This window comes from Homo sapiens, chromosome 18, assembly GCF_000001405.40.
Source record: "Homo sapiens chromosome 18, GRCh38.p14 Primary Assembly".
NCBI lineage: Eukaryota > Metazoa > Chordata > Mammalia > Primates > Hominidae > Homo > Homo sapiens.
Window position 1 is genome coordinate 75915261 of NC_000018.10, and position 23853 is coordinate 75939113.

At 41.4% G+C, this 23853-nt stretch overlaps 2 annotated features.

The window, feature by feature from the left end:
• Positions 21913 to 22455: an enhancer, noted in NCBI's record as "OCT4-NANOG hESC enhancer chr18:73649128-73649670 (GRCh37/hg19 assembly coordinates)". NCBI's record gives its function as "activates a minimal SCP1, AML or CMV promoter by ChIP-STARR-seq in primed H9 embryonic stem cells {active_cell/tissue: H9 hESC(primed)}" and the evidence as "EXISTENCE:reporter gene assay evidence [ECO:0000049][PMID:30033119]".
• Positions 23114 to 23613: an enhancer, noted in NCBI's record as "H3K27ac hESC enhancer chr18:73650329-73650828 (GRCh37/hg19 assembly coordinates)". NCBI's record gives its function as "activates a minimal SCP1, AML or CMV promoter by ChIP-STARR-seq in primed H9 embryonic stem cells {active_cell/tissue: H9 hESC(primed)}" and the evidence as "EXISTENCE:reporter gene assay evidence [ECO:0000049][PMID:30033119]".

Genomic DNA, 23853 nt, shown 5'->3' on the forward strand with positions numbered 1-23853 from the left:
GTAGATTGGGAAACAGAGAAGCCATGGAAGTTGCCCAGTGCACAGCAGACCTAAGGTTCAAATCCAGGATTTTCTGATATCACTGCCCATGCTCCATGGCCGGCCCTATCATCCTGCAGTAAAGCAGTAAAGCCCACCTGAAGGCCAACAACCACCCAAGGCCTCAGAATTGGAAGCAGAGCAGAGTTGCTTCTGGAATGGGTAAGGCCTTAGGGCTTGACTTTTTCTTCTCTTCACTCACCTGCACCCCTCAGATACTGCTGTAGATAAAACCATCACTTTTCTAGGACAAACATTTCTAGAAGAAAAAAAAAAACCTTTTTTTTTAATCTATGACAGCTGATGCTGTTAATCCAAGTGCTTTGTGGAATGTCAGAAACCATACCTATAATATAATGTCAGGGTTGGAAAATATCTGAGATTTTAGTTCAAAATTCTTATTTAGTTGATACAAATGCATGGTCCTCTGTTGTAGCTAGTTGAAACAAAGATCAACATGTTATGTACACTTTCTTTTATATTTTTTCTCAGATTCATCACATGTTTTTTTGTCGTAAAATTAGAAAACTCCTCTGCATTAGAGATCAGTTTACTCTTCTTTTGTATTTCCCATATCAGTTATTGAAAGCACTAAATTATCCTGCAAACTCCCGGCTGATGCCTAAGGAATTCGAGTTCCAGAAGCAAGCCCCCAGAGGACCCCGGCCCAGGCCCGCTCCTCTGCGCAGCGCTGGCCCCCGCGGCCGTCAGGAGGGGAGGCCTGGAGACCCCAGGAGATCCAGGGCTGTCCGTAGGAGCCTGGAAAGGCCAGTTAGGCCGCGAAGCTTTGCCAAATGTGCGGTTGGAAACGTTCAGATTCTATATCTATTACTCGAAGCTCACCAGCCGTGCCATGCATGCACGTAGGAAATTAGAGATTCCGACAGACGGGAGGGTGGGACGGTCCCTTTGCAAATCTGGCCGTTTTGGCTCCGCGCGGCTGGCACGCCCGCCGGGCCCGCGTCCAGCGCCTGCAGCACCGCCCGGGAGCCCGCGGCGCACAGAGCCCGCAGCGCGGCGCGGCGTGGGGGGCTAAGTCACTGCGAACCCTCGCCCGGAGCTGGGGTTCGGGGTCCCACTCCATTTCGGCAGGAGCGGGGCGCGAGGGTGGCGCGGGTAGTGGCGACCGGGACTGCCAGGGGCTCCGGCAAAGGAGGCCGCGGGTTGGGAGGGGCTCCCGACGTGGCGCGCACGTTACCATGGCGACGCGTTTCCCTGGTTACCTGCGGGGCCGCGTCCCGGAGGAGCCTGAGGGCCAAGAGGGCCGGCGCGCGGTGGGCGCGGCCTGCGGGGATGCCGGGCTCTACGGAGCAGCGCGGGGTCCCGAAGCCCCCTACCGCGAGGCCTCAGAAGGGGATGGCGACCTCTTGCAGCGGGAGCGCCTCCCCCACCTGCGCGAAGGCGAGGAGGTCCCACCTGCCTCAGCTGTCCCACCTGCCCCATCTACCCCACCTGCCCCACCTATCCAACCTGCCCCACCGACCCCACCTGCCCCACCGGCAGGACGACAGGGACGTCCCACCTGCCTCATGCCCCACCTGCCCCACCTGCACCTGCGCGGAGGCCCAGGCGCAGCGGGAGCACCCAGTCAGGCCTGCCCTATGGCCCAGCTCCCAGCTCCCAGAGCCAACCTGACGCCTAGTACCAAAGAAGTCATTCTTTCAAAGGGTGTTTAGTGTAAGGGTAGGTCCTGAGATCCCAGGACTACAGCCATCATAAAGCTGACTCCGAAAGGTCTGCATGAAATGGGGATTATAAAATCCCAGAAATCGCCGGGCGCGGTGGCTCCCGCCTGGAATCCCAGCACTTTGGGAGGCCGAGGCGGGAGGATCCCTTGAGCCCAGGAGTTGGAGACCAGCCTGGATGACATAATAAGAACCCCCGTCTCAAATTTAAAAATAAAAATCTCAGAAAGCCCTTTCCCCAGTGAGGCAGCATGCAATCTGGAGTGTCGAGGTAAGAAGATGAACTTCAGATGAACTTAGATAAACCTTCCCCAGTTCACAGCTTCTCTTGCATCCTTTTTGCCTCTCAATCTCTGATGTGTTCTCTGTTGCTAGCTGGCTCCCTCTCTCTCCTCTGTCTCTCTTCTCTCTCCCTCCCTCCCGTCTCTCCTCTCTCACTTCTCTCTCTCTCTCTTCTCTTTTCTCTTTCCTCTCTCCCTCCCCTCTCTTCTCTCTCGGTCTCTCTCTTTCACTCTCTCTCTTTCTCTCTCCGCGCCCCCCCTCCCCTACCGCCCTGCACAATACTTCCAGGACTTTCCCCTCAGGCAGCCTCAGTTTCCCCCTAACGTAAATGCTGAAGGAAACAGGGAGCCAGTACTTGAAGGTTTGGGGACCATTTTACTATTTTCAAGCTTTGCCAATTTGTTTTGTGTTATTAAAAAAACGAAAACACAAAACAAAACTGCATGGCCTAGAAACACAGAAGCACAGACCACTGGACTCTTCTCTTGGCCAAAGAGCCATCATTTTCTTTCCGATGCCCCAGTTTCCCAGCCTGTCTCAATCGAAAGGGCGTGCTTCTATAGCGCATTGTTTCTAGAGCACATTGGATGGACACTATCGGTGAAATTCAAATACTCATAGATTTCTGTTCCCTCCTCCACCTTCCCCCTTTCACTGCGTAGCGGGGAGACTTCCTTATCCACAACAGCCTCTGGGTCCCCGCCATCTCCCCAGGAGGAAGAGCCTTCTGCCTTTGGGCTCATCATTAGAGGTGGCTCTGGAAGCTGCTCTCTGGCTGGAGGCTGTTTCCTGTGGGAAACACCTTCATAGTGTTGGGCAGGTTACCCAGGGCTTTCACCTCATTACCCACGGAGCAACCTGTGGACCAGGGGCTCTCAAGGTACAAGTGACATAAGCCTTTGGCTCTCTCTGAGACCAGATCCCCATGTGCCACAAAATCTCCTGGCCAGGGTCTGGTGGGGAGAGTGGAGTCCTCTGCCCCCACCGCCATTCTGCGAAGGCCATCAGCTGGGCTGGTCTCACCTCTGCTGCAGTGGCTCTCCCCTGCCTGGAATACAGCTCAAAATGCGAACTCTAGGATTCATGTCAGAGGTGGCAAAAGAAGTGAAAGATAAGAAATACACACTTTGGGACACTAACGAAGCGAGGTGGAATTTGTACACCTTTTCTTTGTGTAGCCGTTGAAGATGTTGGAAGAAATTTGAACGTGCCTTCTGAGCCAAACCCTCTGATTTAGTAAAGTCAAAATAATGAGAATTAGCCTGCACCTAATATAACTCTGACACCACCTACACATCCCTTTCACAGAGGTGCAATGAGGATTAATCAGTTAGTATTTATAAAAAGATCTGGAGACAAAAATCATTACTTATAAATGCTAGATAATATTAAGGATTTGGATTATAATATGATAAAATGTAAAACAAAATAACATGAATTTGTGGCATGTATGAATAACAAGCTTCTAGGTTGCATGTCTGCTAGCACAGCCAGAGCAACCACATTATCTGAGACTTACTTTGGGGCCATTTGAAATGACCTGACACAATTGAATTTAGAAAGTCATTCAAGACCCCTTGTTATCCAGGGACACTGAATTACTCAGGCTTAGTTGGCTTCCATGAGTTTGCTTTATAAGTGTCTTTGAGATGGTCTTATAGGCTATTCAGGCTTCTCGTAAAATAGAGTGGCATTTGACTTTCATATGCCTTACACTTCACATCAGGAAGCTCAGCTTTCTTTATGCTGATAATATTTTTCATATGCTAAGAACTCAAGTCAACGAACATGCACTTAGGTAAACTAACCGCTACTCACTTTCATTAATTTCAGAGTAAGCAAATGGACAAGTCACAAATTTTAAAATCGCTCTCCTCTTTGCAGAACCCAAGTTTTAATATTCCACTAAGTTTTGAAGGCCAACTTCTATCAACCAAGGGGTAATAATCTAGGTATTACTATAGAGTTTATTAAAGAGACATTACTGTAGACTTTATTAAATACAAACAGATCACCCCAAATTGAAGTGAGTTTACAACTGGCAAAATTCTTTAATATAGTATACAATTTATTTAGTATACTAGTCATTATCATCTATCCCATGGGGTAGACGAGTGTTATTATTTATATAGTGTTGATAAAACAACAGAATATCTGGGATGTTAAGTCACTTGTCAAAGACACCAGATCTATCCACTACACTCCATGGCCTACATGTATAGAAATTAGTGGCTCATTGGGAACAAATGCCTTTGACAAGTTGCAAAGCAAACATGCAAAAAAAGAGAAATGAAGAACAGTGAATTCATCTGTACAGCTGTATGTGCTCACATAGAAACAATTTCTAGTTCTAACTCAAAAGCTTATTTTGCTTTGTTTTAAGCCACACTCGTGTGCACAAAATAGAGAACCCAGCCATGAAACACCACATATATGAAGCTAAGATACAGAGGAATCCCCTTGTATGAAGACAGAAGAGGAAAAAACACTACCATTGAATCACAAGTGTGCTCCCATGTTCTTCCTCCGGGAAACAAAGACAAGACACCTTGGGCTGGCTGACATGGATTGAGGATCAGAGTATACTCCGGGGGTATGTAACACAGGATGCAACCCAGCAGAGAGAAAACTGATCCTTAGTCTTCCAAATAGACCAGTTAAAAAATGTGTATATTCCCTAAGAGCTCACAGGCCTAATTAAGATTTTTTGAACCTGATCAAAACATTAATTACTTTGCACAAACTGAGCAAACATATAGATGTCACATCCTATAAATGTTTCTTTCAATTGCTGTCCTGGGAAGATAGATAGAAATTAAAATAGTACATCATTAAGTAGACTACACATCTCTCTTCTCCGTTGTTCTCATGGGTATTAAATCTCTACTGACTATTTTGTTTTTCTTTATAGTAAACCAGAGAGGATATTATAATACCAATTACTAATATTTATTGAACACCTACTCTTGTCAGGCACTTTACCTCTGCCCTGTACTTAATCTATCAATAAAACTACAAGATTGATTTGAGCATTTGCATTTTATGCGCATTTATACTCAGAGAGGCCGAGAATTTGCTCTAAGTTATTCAGTTAAAAAATGGTGGACCTGGATGGATGTGGTGGCTCACGTCTGTAATCCCAGGACTTTGGGAGGCTGAGATGGGCAGATCATGAGGTCAGGAGTTCGAGACCAGCCTGGCCAACATGGTGAAACCCTGTCTCTACTAAAAATACAAAAATTAACTGGGCATGGTGGCACGCACCTGTAATCCCAGCTACTTAGGGGGCTGAGGCAGGAGAATTGCTTGAACCCGGGAGGCAGGGGTTGCAGTGAGCCAAGATCACACCACTGCACTCCAGCCTGGGCGACAGAGTGAGACTCCGTCTCAAACAAACAAACAAAAAAAGTGGACCTTGAGTCAAATCCAAGCTGGTCTGACTCTAAAGGCCGTGCATCCTCTTCCCCCCATGCCACCCCATCTTGTCAATGAAGGAGGCAAACTAGGCAATCCCACTACATCAATACCTGCCCTGACAGACTTTGGAGACCTGGCTGGCTTAACTATGAAAGTGCAGAGAATTCCATTTGTTTCCACCCAATTTAACATTGCTGTGCTAGTCTTCATCTACATTTCTTACCTATAGGTGTTTGTATGTAAGAGTGGGATTGCTAGTGGATCGCATACCATGCTGAGTCCTGGAAATATGCAGAAAGGTGTTCCCAGAAATTGTTCTTGATACCTTTGTCATGAGTTTAATGAATAATTCATCCAGGAGAGGTCTCCTGTGCTAGCCAAAGCGGGGCATATTCTTTGCTTCTGTAACACCATGTTCACAGCCTCAAGGAGCACATGGACTTGTGTCTTGTGTACATGTCTGTCTGCTTTCCTTTTCTCCTCATAAATGAAATTCTCTTCCCATCTTTTTAAGGTCCTTTGAAGGGTATCACCCTTCTCTTCTCTCCTGCATTCAGGAACAATTGCAAACTTTAACATAACCCAGAATTCCAGAATTCATTCTAGAGCAGCCCACACAGTGTCCTGAGGAGTCTCCTATCCAGAATCAGCTGTCCAAGAAACGTGGTCTCTTGTCCTGGGAGCTCCTGGAGAAGCCACAACTAGCATACGGTCTCACTCGGTAATTAACACATTCAGCATATGATGCCTACACTGGATACTTGTTGAATTAATAGATAAACAAAACTCATCTGAGCTACTGATATAGATATCCTGAGAGCTCCACATCAGTTTCGTGCACTGCATTCATCAGCTCCAATGGCAGTCACGTAGAGCTTATTTACTTTTGTTTTATGCACAGTTATAACAAATTTTGTCTCATCCCCATTATCTGAAAAACAACACATTAAAAGGAAGGAGGAGTCATTTTCATTAACAAACATGCAACTATCAGCAAGAAGGGAGCCTGAAAACAGAAGACGAGGCAGAAAATGTAAAAAGAAGCAACCAGCATTCCAAAACCACCTGGGAAAACAACGTGAATCCCTCAGTGGTCTCAGAAGGAGTAAAGCACATGTGATCTAAGAGTTAACATCCCTCACAAGGATCCAAAGTCGTGCAAAGGGTTAAAATTGGTTCCCTAATCTTTGTTTTAAGAGGAGGAAAAGGTAGTGATATTTTTGGGAAAATGCTAAAAGTTTCAAAGTGTTAGCATGGAGAATGGGAGAATGATGTCTGTATTATTCAAAAGTCACCTACGGGAATCATTCCTTACTACACTGTTTTTCTCACCAAAAGAAATGACTCTGAAATCTGTGCTGCTCTGACAGAGCCTGGGAAGGCAAAAACTCAGCCTTCAACGGCTCCTTCCACTCCGGGCTGCCATCCTCTGTAGGCACTTATTAGGAGCGTGAACGCGATCATCACTGGGGACTTCAAACATACCTGCTCACGGTGGTTTGGTTTTCATTATGTGCCACAGGCACTTTCTCTAACCCTCAATGTAAATTATTTATGTGTTTAAAAGGATCACTTCCTTCTCACAGGAAAATAATAAAAGGAAGCGTAAAATTTGTATTTATGTTTGGTAATGCCTGAATCATTCATTCACAGTTACTCTTTGTTTAACAGCGATGCTGAAAATAATAAAGGGTCATAGCTAGCATTTATCCATTTTCATATGCTAGCATTTACACAACCATCTTAGTGAAAAATCACAACCATAGAAAGTGTGGACTATTATCATCACCCCCATTTTACAGATGGGGAAACTGAGGCCCAGAGGTCCATGTGTCCAGAGCCTTCAAGTTATCCAAGACCCTTCATAGACCTTGCCTTATGCATATGGCACTGCTCAGAGAGCTCAAGGCCTCACTGCATTAACGTCTATGGGAGCCTCTCTGTTGACCACATCTGGGTATGAGGGAATTTCCTCTAAAATTACAAACTACCTCTCAGTTTGAATCAGATTAATAGTATCATTTTAATTCCAACACAGTGGCAGACACTATTATAGACAGCAGGGACATAGACATGACTACAAAATGTGGCCTTTGGATATGAGACATTGGCAGTATAGTTGAGGGAGTCACGGAAAAGACAGGCAAGAAGACATCGGTGATGTGGTGAGGCAGACACCTCTGTACATTCACCAGATATGCACAGAAAGGGCCATCTCACTGAGCCCGGGTGGCAGGTGGGCTTCCTGGATGAGATGACAGGTAAGTTCATCTTGGAGGCTAAGTAGGTGTTGTCCCAGTGGGGAGGGGCTGAATGGGAATACCAGGTAGGAAATACAGGATAGGATGCCACACAGAGGATGAGCTCCAAGGCTGATATTCTAAGGGGGAAGGGGGAAGGGAGAGTGGAAATCCTGCTGGGGGGTGAGGGTGGGGTTATGGAGGGTCTTATGCATTGGGAGAGGGGCTGGGACTTTACCCTGTGGCCCAAGGATTCTCCACCTAGGGACTGTAGATGCTTTGGGCCAGATCATTCTTTGTTGTGGGAGGCTGTCCTGTGCATTGTAGGACGTTTGGCAGAGTCCCTGGAATCTTCTCACCAGATGCCAGTAGCAACACCTCTCCCCATTGCCAAATGTCCCCTGGGGTGGGGGAATGTTCCCCATTGATAGCTGCTGCTATAGCTGGCGGGCAGTCTTGACAGGTGACTCAGCAGTGTGGTGTTAGGCCAACTTGGCACCATTGTCACATTCCTTTGGAAGCTTAGAGAACGGATTTCAGCGGGAGAAGTCTAGAGGCAGAGAAGCTAATAGGAGCCTGTTGCAATACATCATAGGAAAAGTGATAATGGCACAAGAGGGGTTGGACATGAGAGAGGTCAAGGAGGGTAATAATGGTAGAACCTCTTGTTGGTTGGGGGTGAACAGGGAGCTGGAAGTGATGTTGTTAGTTACAAGAAAGGAGTCCAGGAGAATATTGAGATGTCTTGGCTGGAGAATTGGGTAGAAGTTATTGACCAAGACAAGGAATGTATGAGATGGAGCAGGTTTGGCGGAACAGTTAGTATATTCTGACCTAGAAATTGGAGCTGGGGAATAATTTTCTGCAGCTACTTCAGAGGGGGGAAGAGGCTTCTGTAACTTAGTGTTAATGCAGGAAACAGCAATTTCTCTTCCCAGAGAGCTTGCCGTTCAGGAAGTGCACCAATGTCTCTACCCCCACGGAAGCAGTGTTTCCCAGAACACACTTTGGAAATCCATGTCATCACTTGAATTTAAAGGTTTAAAAGGAAGTACAATAGGATCCAAGAGACAAAGAAGATGTAATTCCAGAAAGGAGTACTTGAGTTAGATGAAAAGGATAAGTCAGATTTCAAAGGGCAGAGATGGCAGGCAAGGCCGAGCCCTCCTCTCTCCCCACCTTGGTCTGGGGGTGATTCCTACACTGAACTTCCTTCAGAGCCTTAGACAGGCCAAACGTTCCCTTTACCTGAAGAGGTTTCCCAGCCCTTTACCTGAAGAGCCCTCAGTAACACTCTCATTCTCACTCATAGAAAGCTGTTGCTTCTTTTTATTGCCTTTGCTGTGTTTTGTGATTATTTTTCTTTCTTTGCTGTTTGTTAAACTTTGGTCTCAGCCCCAGGTATGGCATTCCCATGAGAGCAGGGATGATGACTTTTATTTTCTTAATTCTATCCCTAGTGCCTAACTCGGTGCCTGTAACAGGTGGTCACTCCATATGTATTTCATAATAATTTGTTGGATATCTTTGTGGAATAAATGAATAAATGATGAATGTGAGCAATGGCACGAGGAACAATTAGAGTGGAAAATCACAGAGACGTTGACCAACGGTCTTTTATGAATGAACTTTGGCCTTTGAGACGGGAGGACAGGAAAATTTGACTGAAAGCCGGCTGGGGTCAGGGCTAGGAGGACCTCTAGCACGATCTGTGGGATCTGGACTTTCATTCATGTGTGGCAAATGTGTAGCCATCCATGAACTTGAACCAAGAGAGGGGTTGTCTTCCTAGCACTTGAACGCCCATTCTTGCTCATAGAAAGCTGTTGTTTCGTTTTATTGCCTTTATCACGCTTTGTGATTATTTTTCTATTTCTTTGCTATTTGTTACACTTTGGTCTAAGCCCCTGGTGTGGCATTCCCATGAGAGCAGGGACGATGACTTTTATTTTTAAAATAAAATTAAAATTCTCCCAAATAGCCTGGAGAAGCATGTGATGCCTGAATAACTAGTACCATCATTCACTTCAGTTGAATCCTCTTAAACAAAGAAGAACATTTCATGTGAAATAGTTTTTGAAAACGAGATGTACTTAGAAGTTGGAAAATAAAAGAAAATGTGAAAATAAGGGTTTTTCTTCTTCTATGTAACACAAATTCAGTTAGAATTAAAACTTAAAGAATTCCTGTTTGTCTTTCTGTGCCTGGCTTATGTTATTTAACATTGTGCTCTTGAAAATGCTAAGAGTTGATGTTAACTGTTCTCACTGCACAGCGAATAACTATGTGAGGTAACGCATTTATTAGCTAGATTTAACTATTCCACAATGTGTATATACTTCAAAACATCATTTCATACATAATGAATACATAAAATTTTTTGTCAATTAAAAAAATAAAAAATAAATCTTAAGATAAAAATTTTTATTAAAAATGATTTTTTCAAGGTACAAATGTTCAGACCAATGTTTATGATAGGTTGCTATAGCATCCCTGTTCTTCATGTTTACTTTTGCTGTATTATCAAAACAATGGTCATATTTACAAATAAATATGTTAGGCCTTCTATAATTTTCCCAAAGATTTGTCTTAATTACTTATATGAATTTTGTATATTTTTATAAGAGCCTATCATATCATCACTGCTATGGAGTTTCTCTGGGGTTAAATTTACAATTAACTGTTAGCTGTGAGATCCTGTTTGTAAATGTCTTTGAGTAAGATTTAAGCCATTCTCCAATATCACTTTTATGGATTTGTGGAAGTTACCTCTATCTTACAATTTTTGCAATTTCTCTTTACAATTCAGTCATATTTCCTTTATATTGTATTGTCTGAGTCTCTATCAATCACTGAGTGAGTTGACTATTGACTCAATGGACATGAATAAAGCATTAAGTTTAAACAGTGGCAACTAAATTATAAGTGGTCAGTTTACTAATGACTATCTTCCTGCTTCGATGGCTGTTGCTTCTTTATTCAGCCTCATGTCTCTGAGGACTAGAGTAGTGAATCTGGACAATGGTTGCACTCCGCACTCTATGCCTCCATCCTGCAAGACCTCCTTCCTCAATCTTACTTTATGCCTCTCTCTCTGTCTTTGTCTTCACTCTGTTTTTCTACTGGGAATGTCCTCACTTATCTCCCAAATGTTATTTATCTCATTGGGTTTTTCCTAATCTGTATAATCAGATTGATATTCACTTTCTTACTCTTCTGAGCTTTTATTTTGTTAGTTTTTATTCACCCTTTAACCTCTGCAACACAGAATCAAACACAAGTGCTTTCCTGTGGTCACAAGAAGGTGTATTTGTTCTAAGGGGCTGACATGTTTCAATCCTTGTCTGATTCTTGATACTCAAATAAAAGGATACGTCTACTTGGAGAGCCTCAAAAAGGGCTGCTACTTGCCTTTAGATCTCGCCCACTTATAGTTTGTCTACCCACAAATTGACAGAGACACACAGAACACCCACACAGACAGCTTGTACCTGTGTGCTTTTGCTTGACTAATCCACACTGTCTTCATGGGTCAGCTGGTTTAATGAGCATCTCCCACCATCATCTGAGTGGGTGATCTAAAATGCACACCTCTGCTACTTACTGCAGCTCCCACACCTACCACTCTACAGCCATTTGCTGAAATAGCTTCTGGTTACCTGCGACATGCTGGTCTCACCAACTGGACTTCAAGTTCCTTGAAGAAAAATATTGACATACCTTTTTCTTTAAATGCCAGATATCTTGTCGAGTATGGCATATAGCACGTACTTAAAAGGATTAGGTAAGTAATGAATGTGTATGGGTTTTTTATTATAATTATGTTGATGTATAAAGTTGCAAATTCCTAAAAGGCAGAGGCCACTCTCAATTAAGATGCAGTTCAGTGACCAATATCACTTGGTTAGGAAACACTTGTGCAAAGTGCCATGCTATCTTCACTTTAGTCGGTGTCTGTCCTACCTGGCGTATACCTTGGGCAGATCACTTAATCAAAGACTGTTCCCATCACCCATAAAGTGAGAGAATTGGACTAGTTTGTCCACAGAGACTCCTGCAGCTTAGTCATTCTGTGAGTCACGGAACAATATATAACTTACCAAACAAGACGTTTCCTTTTAAACCATTTCACAATTGTTACCCATCCATAAAGTGATACGGTTTTTTAAAATCCTGTGTTTTACACTCCCCAGTTGTAATCTGTGAATATGTCAACTTCCTACTAGTCTAGTACTTACTTCGGTAATCATTTTACCTAACCAATGAAGAGGATTCACTATCTAGTGGTGAAAAACGTTTGAGATGTTTAGGGGCCAATGATTTATCAAATAGAACTTTTAGCCTATTTTGGTCAGATAAACCTGAAATGTTAAAGTGCCACTAAAATGCAGAAAACACTGTGGGTTCTCGTTCTGGAGAGAGAAAACCTAAAACATTACAGTTTCAAAACAAAGGTAACATAAAATAGAACATTCATCAGGAGGCCATCAGGAAAGGCCATTTCTTCTTGTTGAGAGATCCAAGGAGAACACTTCTTTTTATTTGTGTATATTTGCAACATGACACTATCAACAATGAAATGGCTTTCACTGTTTAGCTTGTAAAGATGTGGCTTTAGAGTATGTTACGGAAACTTTGACTTGAAGCATCAGTACTCTAATTAATAGAAAGTCAGTTTTGTGCTAGCGCCTGGGGAGAATAGCAGTGTATGGAGTTTCAAGTCAGTGTATTAATCCCTCTCATTATTTAAGACAAAAAACATAATTTTCAGGAAGGTAAAGAGGCCCACAAGTGAGAGAGGTGACATGATAAGAGGCACAATGTCAAGAGCAGAAAGTTTTGGCTTACGGGGAGATTTCAGAGCAGGTAAGAAGCTATCCTGGGTGAGGTACAGTCAGCCTATCATGTAGGGACCAAGGAAAATGTTGAAAAGGTCAGAGATTTGGCTGACTCGAATACATGATTAACTGTGAGAATGATGGCTGAAGAGTTCAGTGTAGACCAAGAGACAGATGCTCACATTCTGAAAGAAAACTTGAGCACGAGGGAAGTTTCCGTGAAGATCGTGCCAAGTGCTTTGAGTGATGAACAGAAACAGAAAAGTCTTGACATTTGTTCTGGTCTTTCAGAGGAAGCCAGATAAAACAGTGCTTTGTGAAGAAACAAGTAACCAGGAATGAACTGCGGAGCAAGAGAACTTCAATTCAAGAGATGGATGGAAACATCAGTATTCTCAGTACCCCCTCCACACACCTTTATTAAAGCATTTTTATTTAATCAGTACTCATTTACTGAGCACATACTAGGTGTACAGAATTATGTTTAGCATTGTGGGAATTATAAACATGAAAAGGACATGGTTTCTTCCCTGTAGCTGTTTATAATATGATGAAAGAAAGTAAGACATTATAAGAGTCATCACTTTCCATCACAAGACCAGGCAATAAATGGAAAGTCCTGAAGATTGATACAACCTAGCACTTTTATGAGATGCCTACAGCTCACTTGAGCATGTACTTTCCATGAAGTCCTTTTTGAGCTGTGTTGCTTTGATAAGCGGATAACACAGGTGTCAAACAAAAACTCAAACCTATGTTTAGAGGGCTAAGATGTCCCATTACTGAGAAGAGTCAAGAAAATGATAAAGGTGCTGAAGGAATTCCCAAAACTGAGTCCATCTATAGCTTCTCCAGTTGATGCTCCTAAATGGAAGGCTGTCCACTGCGTCATTTGCGGATGTGGCATCTTCATTATAAAAATCAGTCTCACCACTGAAGATAATTTATTGTATGCATTTATCCATTCGGAGCACTTGTGTGGAGTTCCTACAGTATGCCCAGCATTCTAGTAGAGCTAGTTTATACATTCATTTTGCCAAAAGTTTATAGACTGCTTAATTTTCATCAACAATCAGCAAATTATTGGGTTCCACGTTGACACTTACATTTGAACTTAAAGGTTTATTTATTTTACCATCCACATTAAGGAAACATTATAATGAGCTTTTAAAGGAAAAACAAATAGCTTTGGAGACATGAGAGTAGAAAGAATCCCAATTTCTCATTTTGGCCAAGTTCAACAAACATTGCACCATGAACCAATAGCTCCTAATGAGGACAGCTGCAATACACTAAATAAATATACCATTATATGTAATTAACTTAGAAATCTTGCAATTTCCTGATCATGGACTTTAGCCCATTTATGGATGGGAATGGTTATGTATGTGTGCATTTGTGACAAACACGAAGGGATATCTTAGATATTAAAGATAAAATGAATAAACTTTACTGTGTGCAACAAAATGGGAACAAATACCATTTTGACACTGCCTTACATTCATTCTATCCAGACTGGAGCACCATTAAGAATGAGACTGTTGCATAGATGCAGCCATATATGCATTTCAGCATTTTTCAAAATGTAGAATGCACCTAGTTTCTAGTGATATGAATTAAAAATTACTAGATGTAGCCAAGAGGAAAGCAATAATGAAGAAATAGAACAGCGACTATATAATTTACTCTGTTAGATACTTTCAAATAAACTGATGTCGAAGCTATCACAGTGGTGATGAGAATCAACTAGCGAAGTATTTGATTTATGATTTGCAAAGAATACCCTCATTATCCTCTGTTCAAATGACTATTTGACGGTCAATGCCTTTAGAAGAAGGAAAATAATTTAAATTTAAAAATCCCAGCAAACCAAGAATTGTGTGGTATTCAGAATAAATAATTTCTATCCTATTGGGCTTTATCATGAATAGTGATATTAAATCCCTTGGTTTTATATGTCTTCAAAAACTTAGCTATGGCCATTTGAATACAGTAAAAATAATTATCTTGGAATGTATCACAATACAGCTTAAACATTCAAATAAATAAATTTATAAAATTCTAAACTTTGAAGCCACCTCTAAAGGTCATTTTTGATCATTGTTTTGTATCCCAGGTTGCTTAGATATTTGAACATAGTTTTTTTTTTTTTTAAGGTAAAATTAAGAAAATTTGACTTCCATATAAATGAAAACCATCACCCACAGCAAGTGCTCTTAGGATCCTAAAATGCTGAAGTTTAGTAAAATGATTCATAGAAGCTATTCATAAACTATTTATTTTGGTTAAGGTAATGATGAGGGCTTTTTTCTTTCCTTTTACCAGGAATCACTATTTTATGGTTGTAACTAATTATCTGAACAAAATTGTCAGCTAAAATTTCTATATTTATATTATAAAAGATGGTGAGGTATTTTTTAAATCAGTCACGACCTTAGTGAATCCAAATGGAACAGGAACTTTTTTAAATGAAGTGCTCAATATCCACACTGATTGTCTTTCTTCCTTCATTAATTTGTTGGTGGTATTCGTGTGGGGTGGATGGGAGATGTTATGACTATAGTTTAAATATTTTAAAATATTCATTTCGGGTGGTTGAGAAGGATGATAAATAGAGAAAACAATAATTTATGTTATATGTATACATACACGTGCACACACACACAGACACAAAGAAAAATAGAAAACATTTGTGTCAAATGTTAGCTTCAAGTTAGGCTCACTTACCACATCTTGAATGTTATGCCATCCAAATATAAATAATATATAGATCTAGATGAAAACTAGTATGTCCTTAGACCAATAAAAATGATTTTTTTTGGTTTAAGAGAAAATAAAAACTATTGCTATGCATTTATTAAACTAGTGTTCCTAAAGTTTTCTGAATAAGCGTCTTCTATCATTATGACCTTTCACATGCATTAGAAGGCAGAAGGCTCTTACATTGTGCAGTTGCTGTTGTATTGGGAGGCTGACACATTCTTATTGCCCCACCTGTTATAATTTCCACAAGGTTAATTCTATACTTCTGTTTACAGTAAACATATCTTTATAATATAGAAAGGAAAAGCACCTTCTTTCAGACACCTACAAGATTGTTCAGAAAAGACAAAATACCCTAGCAACTATATTAAGCTATGGAAGTCTTCTCTTAACAAACTCTGGACAATCAAGTTGATATTTTATTCTGCAGAATATGTTCACTTTTATTCATTACTTCTCTTAACTCTATCTAAATAAGCTCTTTATTATAATAGGTAATAAATATGCCTGTAGATTCTGTATGTTCAAGTTAGAAGGATGTGAGGTAGGGATTTCACACTTAATATGTAGTATTTTATCTTGCTTGCTCAATAAGTACGTGTGTTGATAGCAAGTGTACATTTTTACTCACATTTATGCATTTTGAATACAGCTGTCTTCCATTTAGAAAGAGCACTTCTTACACAATTTGATAAGTATCTGCTGTATCTGCAGTTCTGCCAAATACATTTTCTCAGTGCTTGGAGGCTATAGGCTGTGTATCAGCTACGTAGGAAGTCAGTACCTTTTCCCATTGGTTCAAAACACAATTAAGCTTACAAGAAGTTATGTTGCTCTGCATAACTATAATTAATGTGCAGATCTAAGATTAAACAGTATAAATAAAAAGCTAGAACCATGATCAGTATTCAGAAGCAGGATCAGCAAATTTCAAAGATGAGATAAGCCAATGCAGGTAATTTAACAACTGTTTAAAATACATTAGAATTTTCTAGTTCCATCTAAGTGCAATTTGCTGGACATTTGATATTTGAGTCTCTTGCAGAAAATCTAAATAAATCACTATAAAATCGGATCAACAGGAATTAACAATGATACGATCATAGCAAGCCCAAGTGTACGTTTGCTTTTAAAATACCTCTAAGTTCATTGAGCAGACCAGTTTTTATTTTCATATGTATGTTGATTTGGGAAAAGCTATAAAAAGAATGGCCTTTCTCATTTTTCTGAATTATATTAACATTAAAATACACACATAAGTCCGAGTGGGTGCAGTAGCTCATGACTATAATCCTAACACTTTGGGAGGCTGAGATGGGAAGACATCTTGAGCCCAGGAGTTCGAGATCAGCCTGGGCAGCATGGAAAAACCCCATCTCTAAAAAAAGCACAAAAATTAGCTGGGTGTGGTGGAATGTGCTGTAATCCCAGTTACTTGGGAGGCTGAAGTGGGAGGATCTCTTGAGACTGGGAGGTGGAGGCTGCAGTGAACCACGACTGCATCACTGCACTCAGTCTAGGGGACAGAGCAAGACCCTGTCTCAAGATAAATAAATACATAAATAAAATAAAATACAAACATAATAAAAAGATATAAATTATGTGTATTTGTGAAAAAAATCCTTTTATTTTATAATATGACACATGATTATAAAAGATCAAGAAAATCTTTTGAAAGTAAGTGAATTCTTTCCACAAGAAATTTCACACAATCCTGTCTTTCCAACAGGAAAATAGTCTGTAGTTCTGGAGAATCATTATAACTTAGCTTTGACCATTTTACAAAAAGAAGCATAGAGTCGTGGTGCTGAGCTAGGAGATATGAGCTCTCTCTTCTCTGTGCATGCCATACCCTAGCTGTACCTTAGAATAGTGACTGATACTGCTGGTTTTCTGACCTACTGTAGGATTCGAGAACGGAAAGAATCCTGAGAGTTACACAATGTGTGGCTACAAGCGTACATGGGAGGAGATTACATAAATACATTTAGGGTCTATATCTTCAACTCACTCTTCTGAGAGTGAGGAAATTGCTCTTAAAGCCACCTATAATGTCTTTCTTGTACAACACGTATTAACACAAAGTTTAATTTATACACTCATGCATTAAGTAAAATGCATCAGACAATAAATTTTGAAATTTTAAAATCACCACTGAAGAGCGAAGAGAGCTGATATTTCTCAGGGCCTGTGGAATGTCATAGGAAGAGATTTTTTGCTGACACGATTTCAGACATTCAAGCAGTTGCACATTTCACAGAGAAGGAAACTGAGGCTCAGAGAAGTTAGGTGACTTTGGCCGTCACATTACCTATTCTTTTCTATATGCCACACTGCCATCAGTCAAAAAACACTAGGAAGCCAAGTAAAAGCAGAAAACCAAGATTGTGTCCATCAGAATGAATATTCCCACAGAAAGCTCCATATAATGTGATGATCATCATAGACAAACTTCAGGAACTGTGTTGATATGCAAATTTCCAGCAAAATAGCAATGGCTGTAACTAGTTAAGTATGTTTTTACTGGTAAGGGGAGTATTTTTAGTGTTTTATGAACAAGGCTCATTTTATTGCTTACTTTTTACTTTACAATAAGACAAAAATCAATGAATGCTTCTTTGGTTTTATAAACTCTCATAAACGCAAGAGTATATGTGTACACAGATATTTATACCTTCAGTTTGCATGTATTGTGTTGTGAAATCTCTTCATAATAGTAAAACCTAAGTTATTTTCTCATTGTACCAATCTCAGAGGACTTCTGATTTCACAGTTATCAGTCCATACATTTTCAGCTTTTAGAAACCTGCGGTGGGGATGGTAAATTTTCCTGGTGGGGATGCAGATTGAGAACCAGGGCCCAGAGAGATTGAGTGATTTGCTCAAGGCCACAGAGGGTCTCAGGTATTTACAGGAGGCTGCAGCCATGCCCTTCCCATAGGTAATCTTAGTTTTTGAATAAAAGAAAGGAAAGCACTGAATTAAAAACAAACAAACAAAACAAACAAAAAAAAAAACAAGTAACTGGATATAAATCCTGGGACCTCAGTTGTTTTCCACATGGGTATTGATTACAATTTGAAAGAAAAACTTCCTTATATCGTATGCTTATGTAGCTTGTGGTGCTTACCCCATTAGCACCAGGAAAATGAAACACAGACCCATAAGTCTGCTTTTGTTAATGCTAGATCTTCGGTGAACTCCAAAATACCATAAATAATTGAGATAACTATGGGTGCCCTGGGGTGTTTTTTCTTTTAATCTTCTTTTTCATCAAGTGTGTGTGTGTGTGTGTGTGTGTGTGTGTGTTTTAATCAGAAATGAAGAGTACCAGCATCCACATACATATTCCCCAGCGACCAACCATTGAGGGGAGAGGCTCTGGACACTTTGCCCACACGCCAGCCTCTACTGGAACAAAGCCAGGTCTCTGCAAGGAGGCCGGCTCCTCTAGCCCAGCGGAGAAGGTATTAGGATAGGAAGCAGTGGCCTTCCTCAGCCAACTTCAGGCTTAATGAAAAAGTTGAATTCATGTATTTCAGTAGAGATGTGCACAAAGGTTGATTTTTTTTAAATCAACTTTTCATTTTACAACAGTTTTAGATTTACAGTAAGACAGTGAAGCTAGTACAGAGAGTTCCCATATGCACCAAACCCAGCCTCCTCCATTGGTAACATCTCATGTTAGCACCAGATATTTGTCACGGTCCATGAGCCAATGCTGACCTGTCGTTATCACATTATCACAAACTCGGGAGTTTGTTCAGTTGCCTTTAGTGTTCCCCTAATGTCTGCTTTCTAGTCCAGGATCCCATTCAGGACACCACGTTACATGTCACTGCCAAGTCTCCTTAGACCCTTCCTGGCTATGACAGCTCTCAAATTTCCATTGTTTTGGATGAGTTTGACGTATCTGAGGAGCATTAGTCAGGTATTTTAGAGAATGTCCCTCAGTTTTGGTTTGTATGATTTTTTTCTCTTGGTCAGACAAGGGTGATGGATTTTTGAGAAGGCCACAGAGATAAAGTGCCATTTTTATCACATCCCAGGAGGGGTACCTATGGTCCACATGACTTACCACGGATGATATTGTCCTTGTCACCCGACTAAGATGGTGCCTGTCAGGTTTCTGTACTGGAGAATTCCCCTTTTCCATACTTCCTTCCGTATTTTGGAAGGAACTCACTATGTATGGCCCATAACAGTGGGAAGTTATACTCCACCTTCCTGAGGGAGGAGTAGAGATTGATATTTTTATTTATAATATTTAATACATAACTTTTCAAAATAAAAGGCAAAATAAAATGTTAAAATTAGGGTGTATTTAGTTGTTGATGCACGTAACACAATCTTTACAATGCCCACTCGTGATATTGTGTTGTATGAACACAGAAGTCGGGTGCACCGCTTACCTCGAGTCCAAAGGTGGTACCAATCCATGGTGATATTGGCGCAGGGACTTGAGGAACCACAGGGGCTCAGGGTCAGAAGGCCTGCAGAGGTCTTCAGTTCACCTCTCTGTGGTCCAAACTGAGACCTTATGGGCTTCTGATGAGAAATTCCTACACATGAGTGTGGCAGATACCGCAGTTTCTTTACACACATTCTACCTTCTTCTGATTACCAGAGCTGCAAGTGCGTTTTAAATGGTAATGTGTGTACAAAAAGCATTCACATTTTCCAGATTTTTCTCTTTTGTAGACAGCAACTGCCATGTGACACAGCCCAGCCAGAGGCGATAGATCAGCCAAACCCCACCGTTTTCTGAAAGGCTTTGGCTTTCTTGATAAAGATGCCTTTCTCCTTTTTCTCTATTGTCCCTCGAATGGAGAAGTGAGATCAGGAGGGGAAGCAGTCACTGTATGACCTTGTCACAGTGATAGGGATGACAAATGCCAACTTGTACCAGGTCCTGAATGGGAAGTCACAGGAGCGCCTTCTCCAGGATGGCACTGCTGCCCTAGCCCTGACGTGTCTATCCCAGACTTCCTGATAGGTGAGATGGAAGATAGTTACCCAGGAGTCACTGTGGTCAGGATTTCCATAACATGCAACCACATGAAACCCCGCTCCCTGGACCTTTCCTCCATGTCCATTTCCAACAACGTGAGGACAGCCCACCTTTCAAAGGAGCAAATCTTGTTAAGCATGTTGCTATTTTTACTAATTTCTCTCATGTAATATCTTCCACATAGTTTGGAGTGACTAAATTTCCAAAAATATCCCAATGATTGTTTTTGTTTTCTCCAGGATGTTGCCAAATCCTGTTATTTTACCTTCAATGAATCATGTCTTCTCATATTCAAACAGTTTCTCACTGTATTATAACATTCTCCCTTTTAGATTCTTTACTTTTATGGAACACAGAGGGTAGCACTCAACTCAGACTAGAGCAGCAAGGCCAGCTCTGGGTGTCAGCTATGAAAGCCTTATGTCTACTCTGCTATTGCACTTAAAATGACTCCCAATTTATCCATACATGATTAAGTTCATAACCCTCAGCTTCAGTGCATTGATTGAAACCAACCTATCTGAAAACTTGATGACTATCTATTTTTCCTTCGCTTCTATCCCATAATTGCTACCCAAGTAAATGCACCTTGAAAATATGATGAAAGGACCATAGCGTGATGAAATCTGCCACTAAATATCCTGCATAATTCTGGAATGAGATGAACATCCGGGCTACACACAGCACAAGCCGAACTGCTACGTGTGCTTGGATGGCAATGTGCTTTCTCAATACCATAGTTTAGCGTGAGCAGTATATTCCTAGTGTCCCCATATTCTTAGCCTTGGGCCAGGGATTATTTGATGGAAAAAAAGTTATGATCTCCCCTGCCTTGTTGGATTGTACCCATCAGTAAGCCTCTTTACAAACTCCTTATAGAGGAATACACAGATTGAAGGTCTCTATTAGAAAATCTCAGCACAGGTTCATGAAAGCATTGTGATTAATCTATGGTGGACCACACTGATTCTCATAAAAAATGTCAAGTGGGTCTGTTACTGGAAAGAGGTCCAGACCAAGACCCCAAGAGAGGGTCCTTGGATCTCGGGCAAAAAAGAATTCAGGGCAAGTCCAAAGAGAAAAGTGAAAGCAAATTTATTAAGAAAGTAAAGGAATAAAAGAATGGCTACACCACAGACAGAGCACCCCAAGGGTTACTGGTTGCCCATTTTTATGGTTCTTGATGATATGCTAAACAAGGGGTGGACTATTCATGCCTCCCCTTTTTAGACAACTTTCTGACATTGCCATGGCATTTGTAAACTGCCATGGCGCTGGTATGAGTGTAGCAGTGAGGACAACCAGAGGATACTCTCATCGCCATCTTGGTTTTGGGTGGGTTTTAGGCGGCTTCTTCAACTTGCTTTATCAGCAAGGTCTTTAAGACCTGTATCTTGTGCCAACTTCCTATTTCATCCTGTGACTTAGAATGCCTTAACATCTGGGAATGCAGCCCAGCAGGTTTCAGCCTCATTTTACCCAGCTCCTATTCAAAATGGAGTTGCTCTGGTTCAAAAGCTTCTGAGAGGTCCCCTCAAAAACTCTGGTGTGACTTGTTTGGAAAGGTTGGAATGCCATGTGGAATCACCCACTATGGGTTTAGCTAACAGTAATTTTCCTTCATCAATGGGACCACTTTTCTAAATGCTAATAGTATGTGAGTTATTCACAAAGGCAATTTGCTGAGTCTTGGCAAATTGCAGTTTCATTAAAAGTTTGTTTTCCCTAAGGCTTAACATTAGTCTTCACGGTTTTTGTTTTTATTTTTATTTTTTAAATCTTTTCTAAACCCCAGTGGAAAATAACCTTTTACTGTGAAAAGTAATCCAACCGGGTATCTTCAAAATCTTAATAGGCAAAGTGAATTGACCTTGGCTCATCTTCATGGAGTATAGGACAAATGGATCCATTTTCTTGCTAAATAACTACCATTCGAATGTTGATTCTGCCTGCCTAAGATTAGCACCTTGTAAAATCTGTGTTTGAGAATGTAAATGTAAGGCAGCTAAGCACACAGACCCACATTCCCAAGGAGAAGCAATATCCTCTATCAGCTCCCAACCAGTTCTGAGGAATGATGAAGACATGCTGATTTTTTTGTCCAGAAATTGAGAAACAGTAAGAAACATGCAGAAATAAAAGAATTTTGAAATTTATATTTTATCATACCTATCTGCAAGTGGGAGACAGTGTCCATAATCCACACTAAGCGTCAATCACTGGAGCAGACTTTTAGGGGATCTTAACAGCTGGGCTTGCCTAGGACACGGGGAGTGGGCTATGGATGTGTTGTCATTCAGGGCATCTCCTTTGTCCTCAAAGATCTTCACATCAATACAAAATTACTTAAACATTTCATATTGCTTACTTCAAGTGTTAGTGGAGTGTGCCAATCTGAAGTAAGACCTATTGGGGATGAAAGATGCATAAGACAGTGTCCCCATCTGATAGAAGTTTATAGTCCAGCAAGAGGGAGAAACAGGTGAGCAGTCAGCAAAACATAAGTCACGGAATGAGAAGGACCACAAGAAAGCCACTAGCATCTTCCCAGAGGAGAAAGCACTCACAGCTGTAATGACATGTCAGTCCTAAAATCTCAAGATAGCCACACTTAATAAGCATTACTGTTACTGGGGGGTCCTTGCTCCCAGAGCTCCCAAGATGGTGGTGGGCCGCTTCCAAGATGGTGGTGGGCTGCTTCCAAGATGGTGGCAAGGCTTGTGTTCTCTGACCTGGGGTTCTTGGCCTCACAGATTCCAAGGAATGGAATCTTGGGCCATGAGGTGAGTGTTATAGCTCTTTTAGAAGCCGTAGGTCACAAAAGAGAACTGTGGAACCCAGTGACTAGTGTTCAGCTCGATTAGGACGAACCTGGGCACTTAGCTGTGTAGGAACAATGGCAAGCCTTTAGCCCGATCAGGAGTGGCAATGGTTGCCTCACTGGATCAGCACAGTGGACACCCTGTTGGATCTGGAGGGACAGAAGACAGCAGCAGGTCTGCGACGGCGGCAAACAGCAATGGTGGACGGCAAGCGAAAGCTCAGCTCGAGCCGTAACAAACACAGACCAGAAGAGTGTGCATTTGCAAGATTTAATAGAGTGAAAACAGAACTCCCATAAAATGAGACGGGACCCAAAAGGGGTTGCCATTGCTGGCTCCAATGCCTGGGTTTATATCTCCATCATTGTCCCTCCCACTGTGCTCTTAGGCGATAGATGATTGGCTATTTCTTTACCTCCTGTTTTTGCCTAATTAGCATTTTAGTGAGCTCTCTTTACTAACTGATTGGTTGGGTGTGAGCTAAGTTGCAAGCCCTGTGTTTAAAGGTGGATACAGTCACCTTCCCAGCAGGCTTAGGGATTCTTAGTCAGCCTAGGAAATCCAGCTAGTCCTGTGTTTCATTACCACGTTTCAGGGACTGTGATTCTCCCTGTATTTTTTTTATGCAATACTTTCATCAATCCTAGAGATAAGTTTATTATGCTTATTTGAGAAATCTAAGATAAAAGAGATCAAGTAACTTTTTCAAACTGTTCAACTCCACGGAAGGCCAGTTAGGGTGGAAATGGTAGAAGA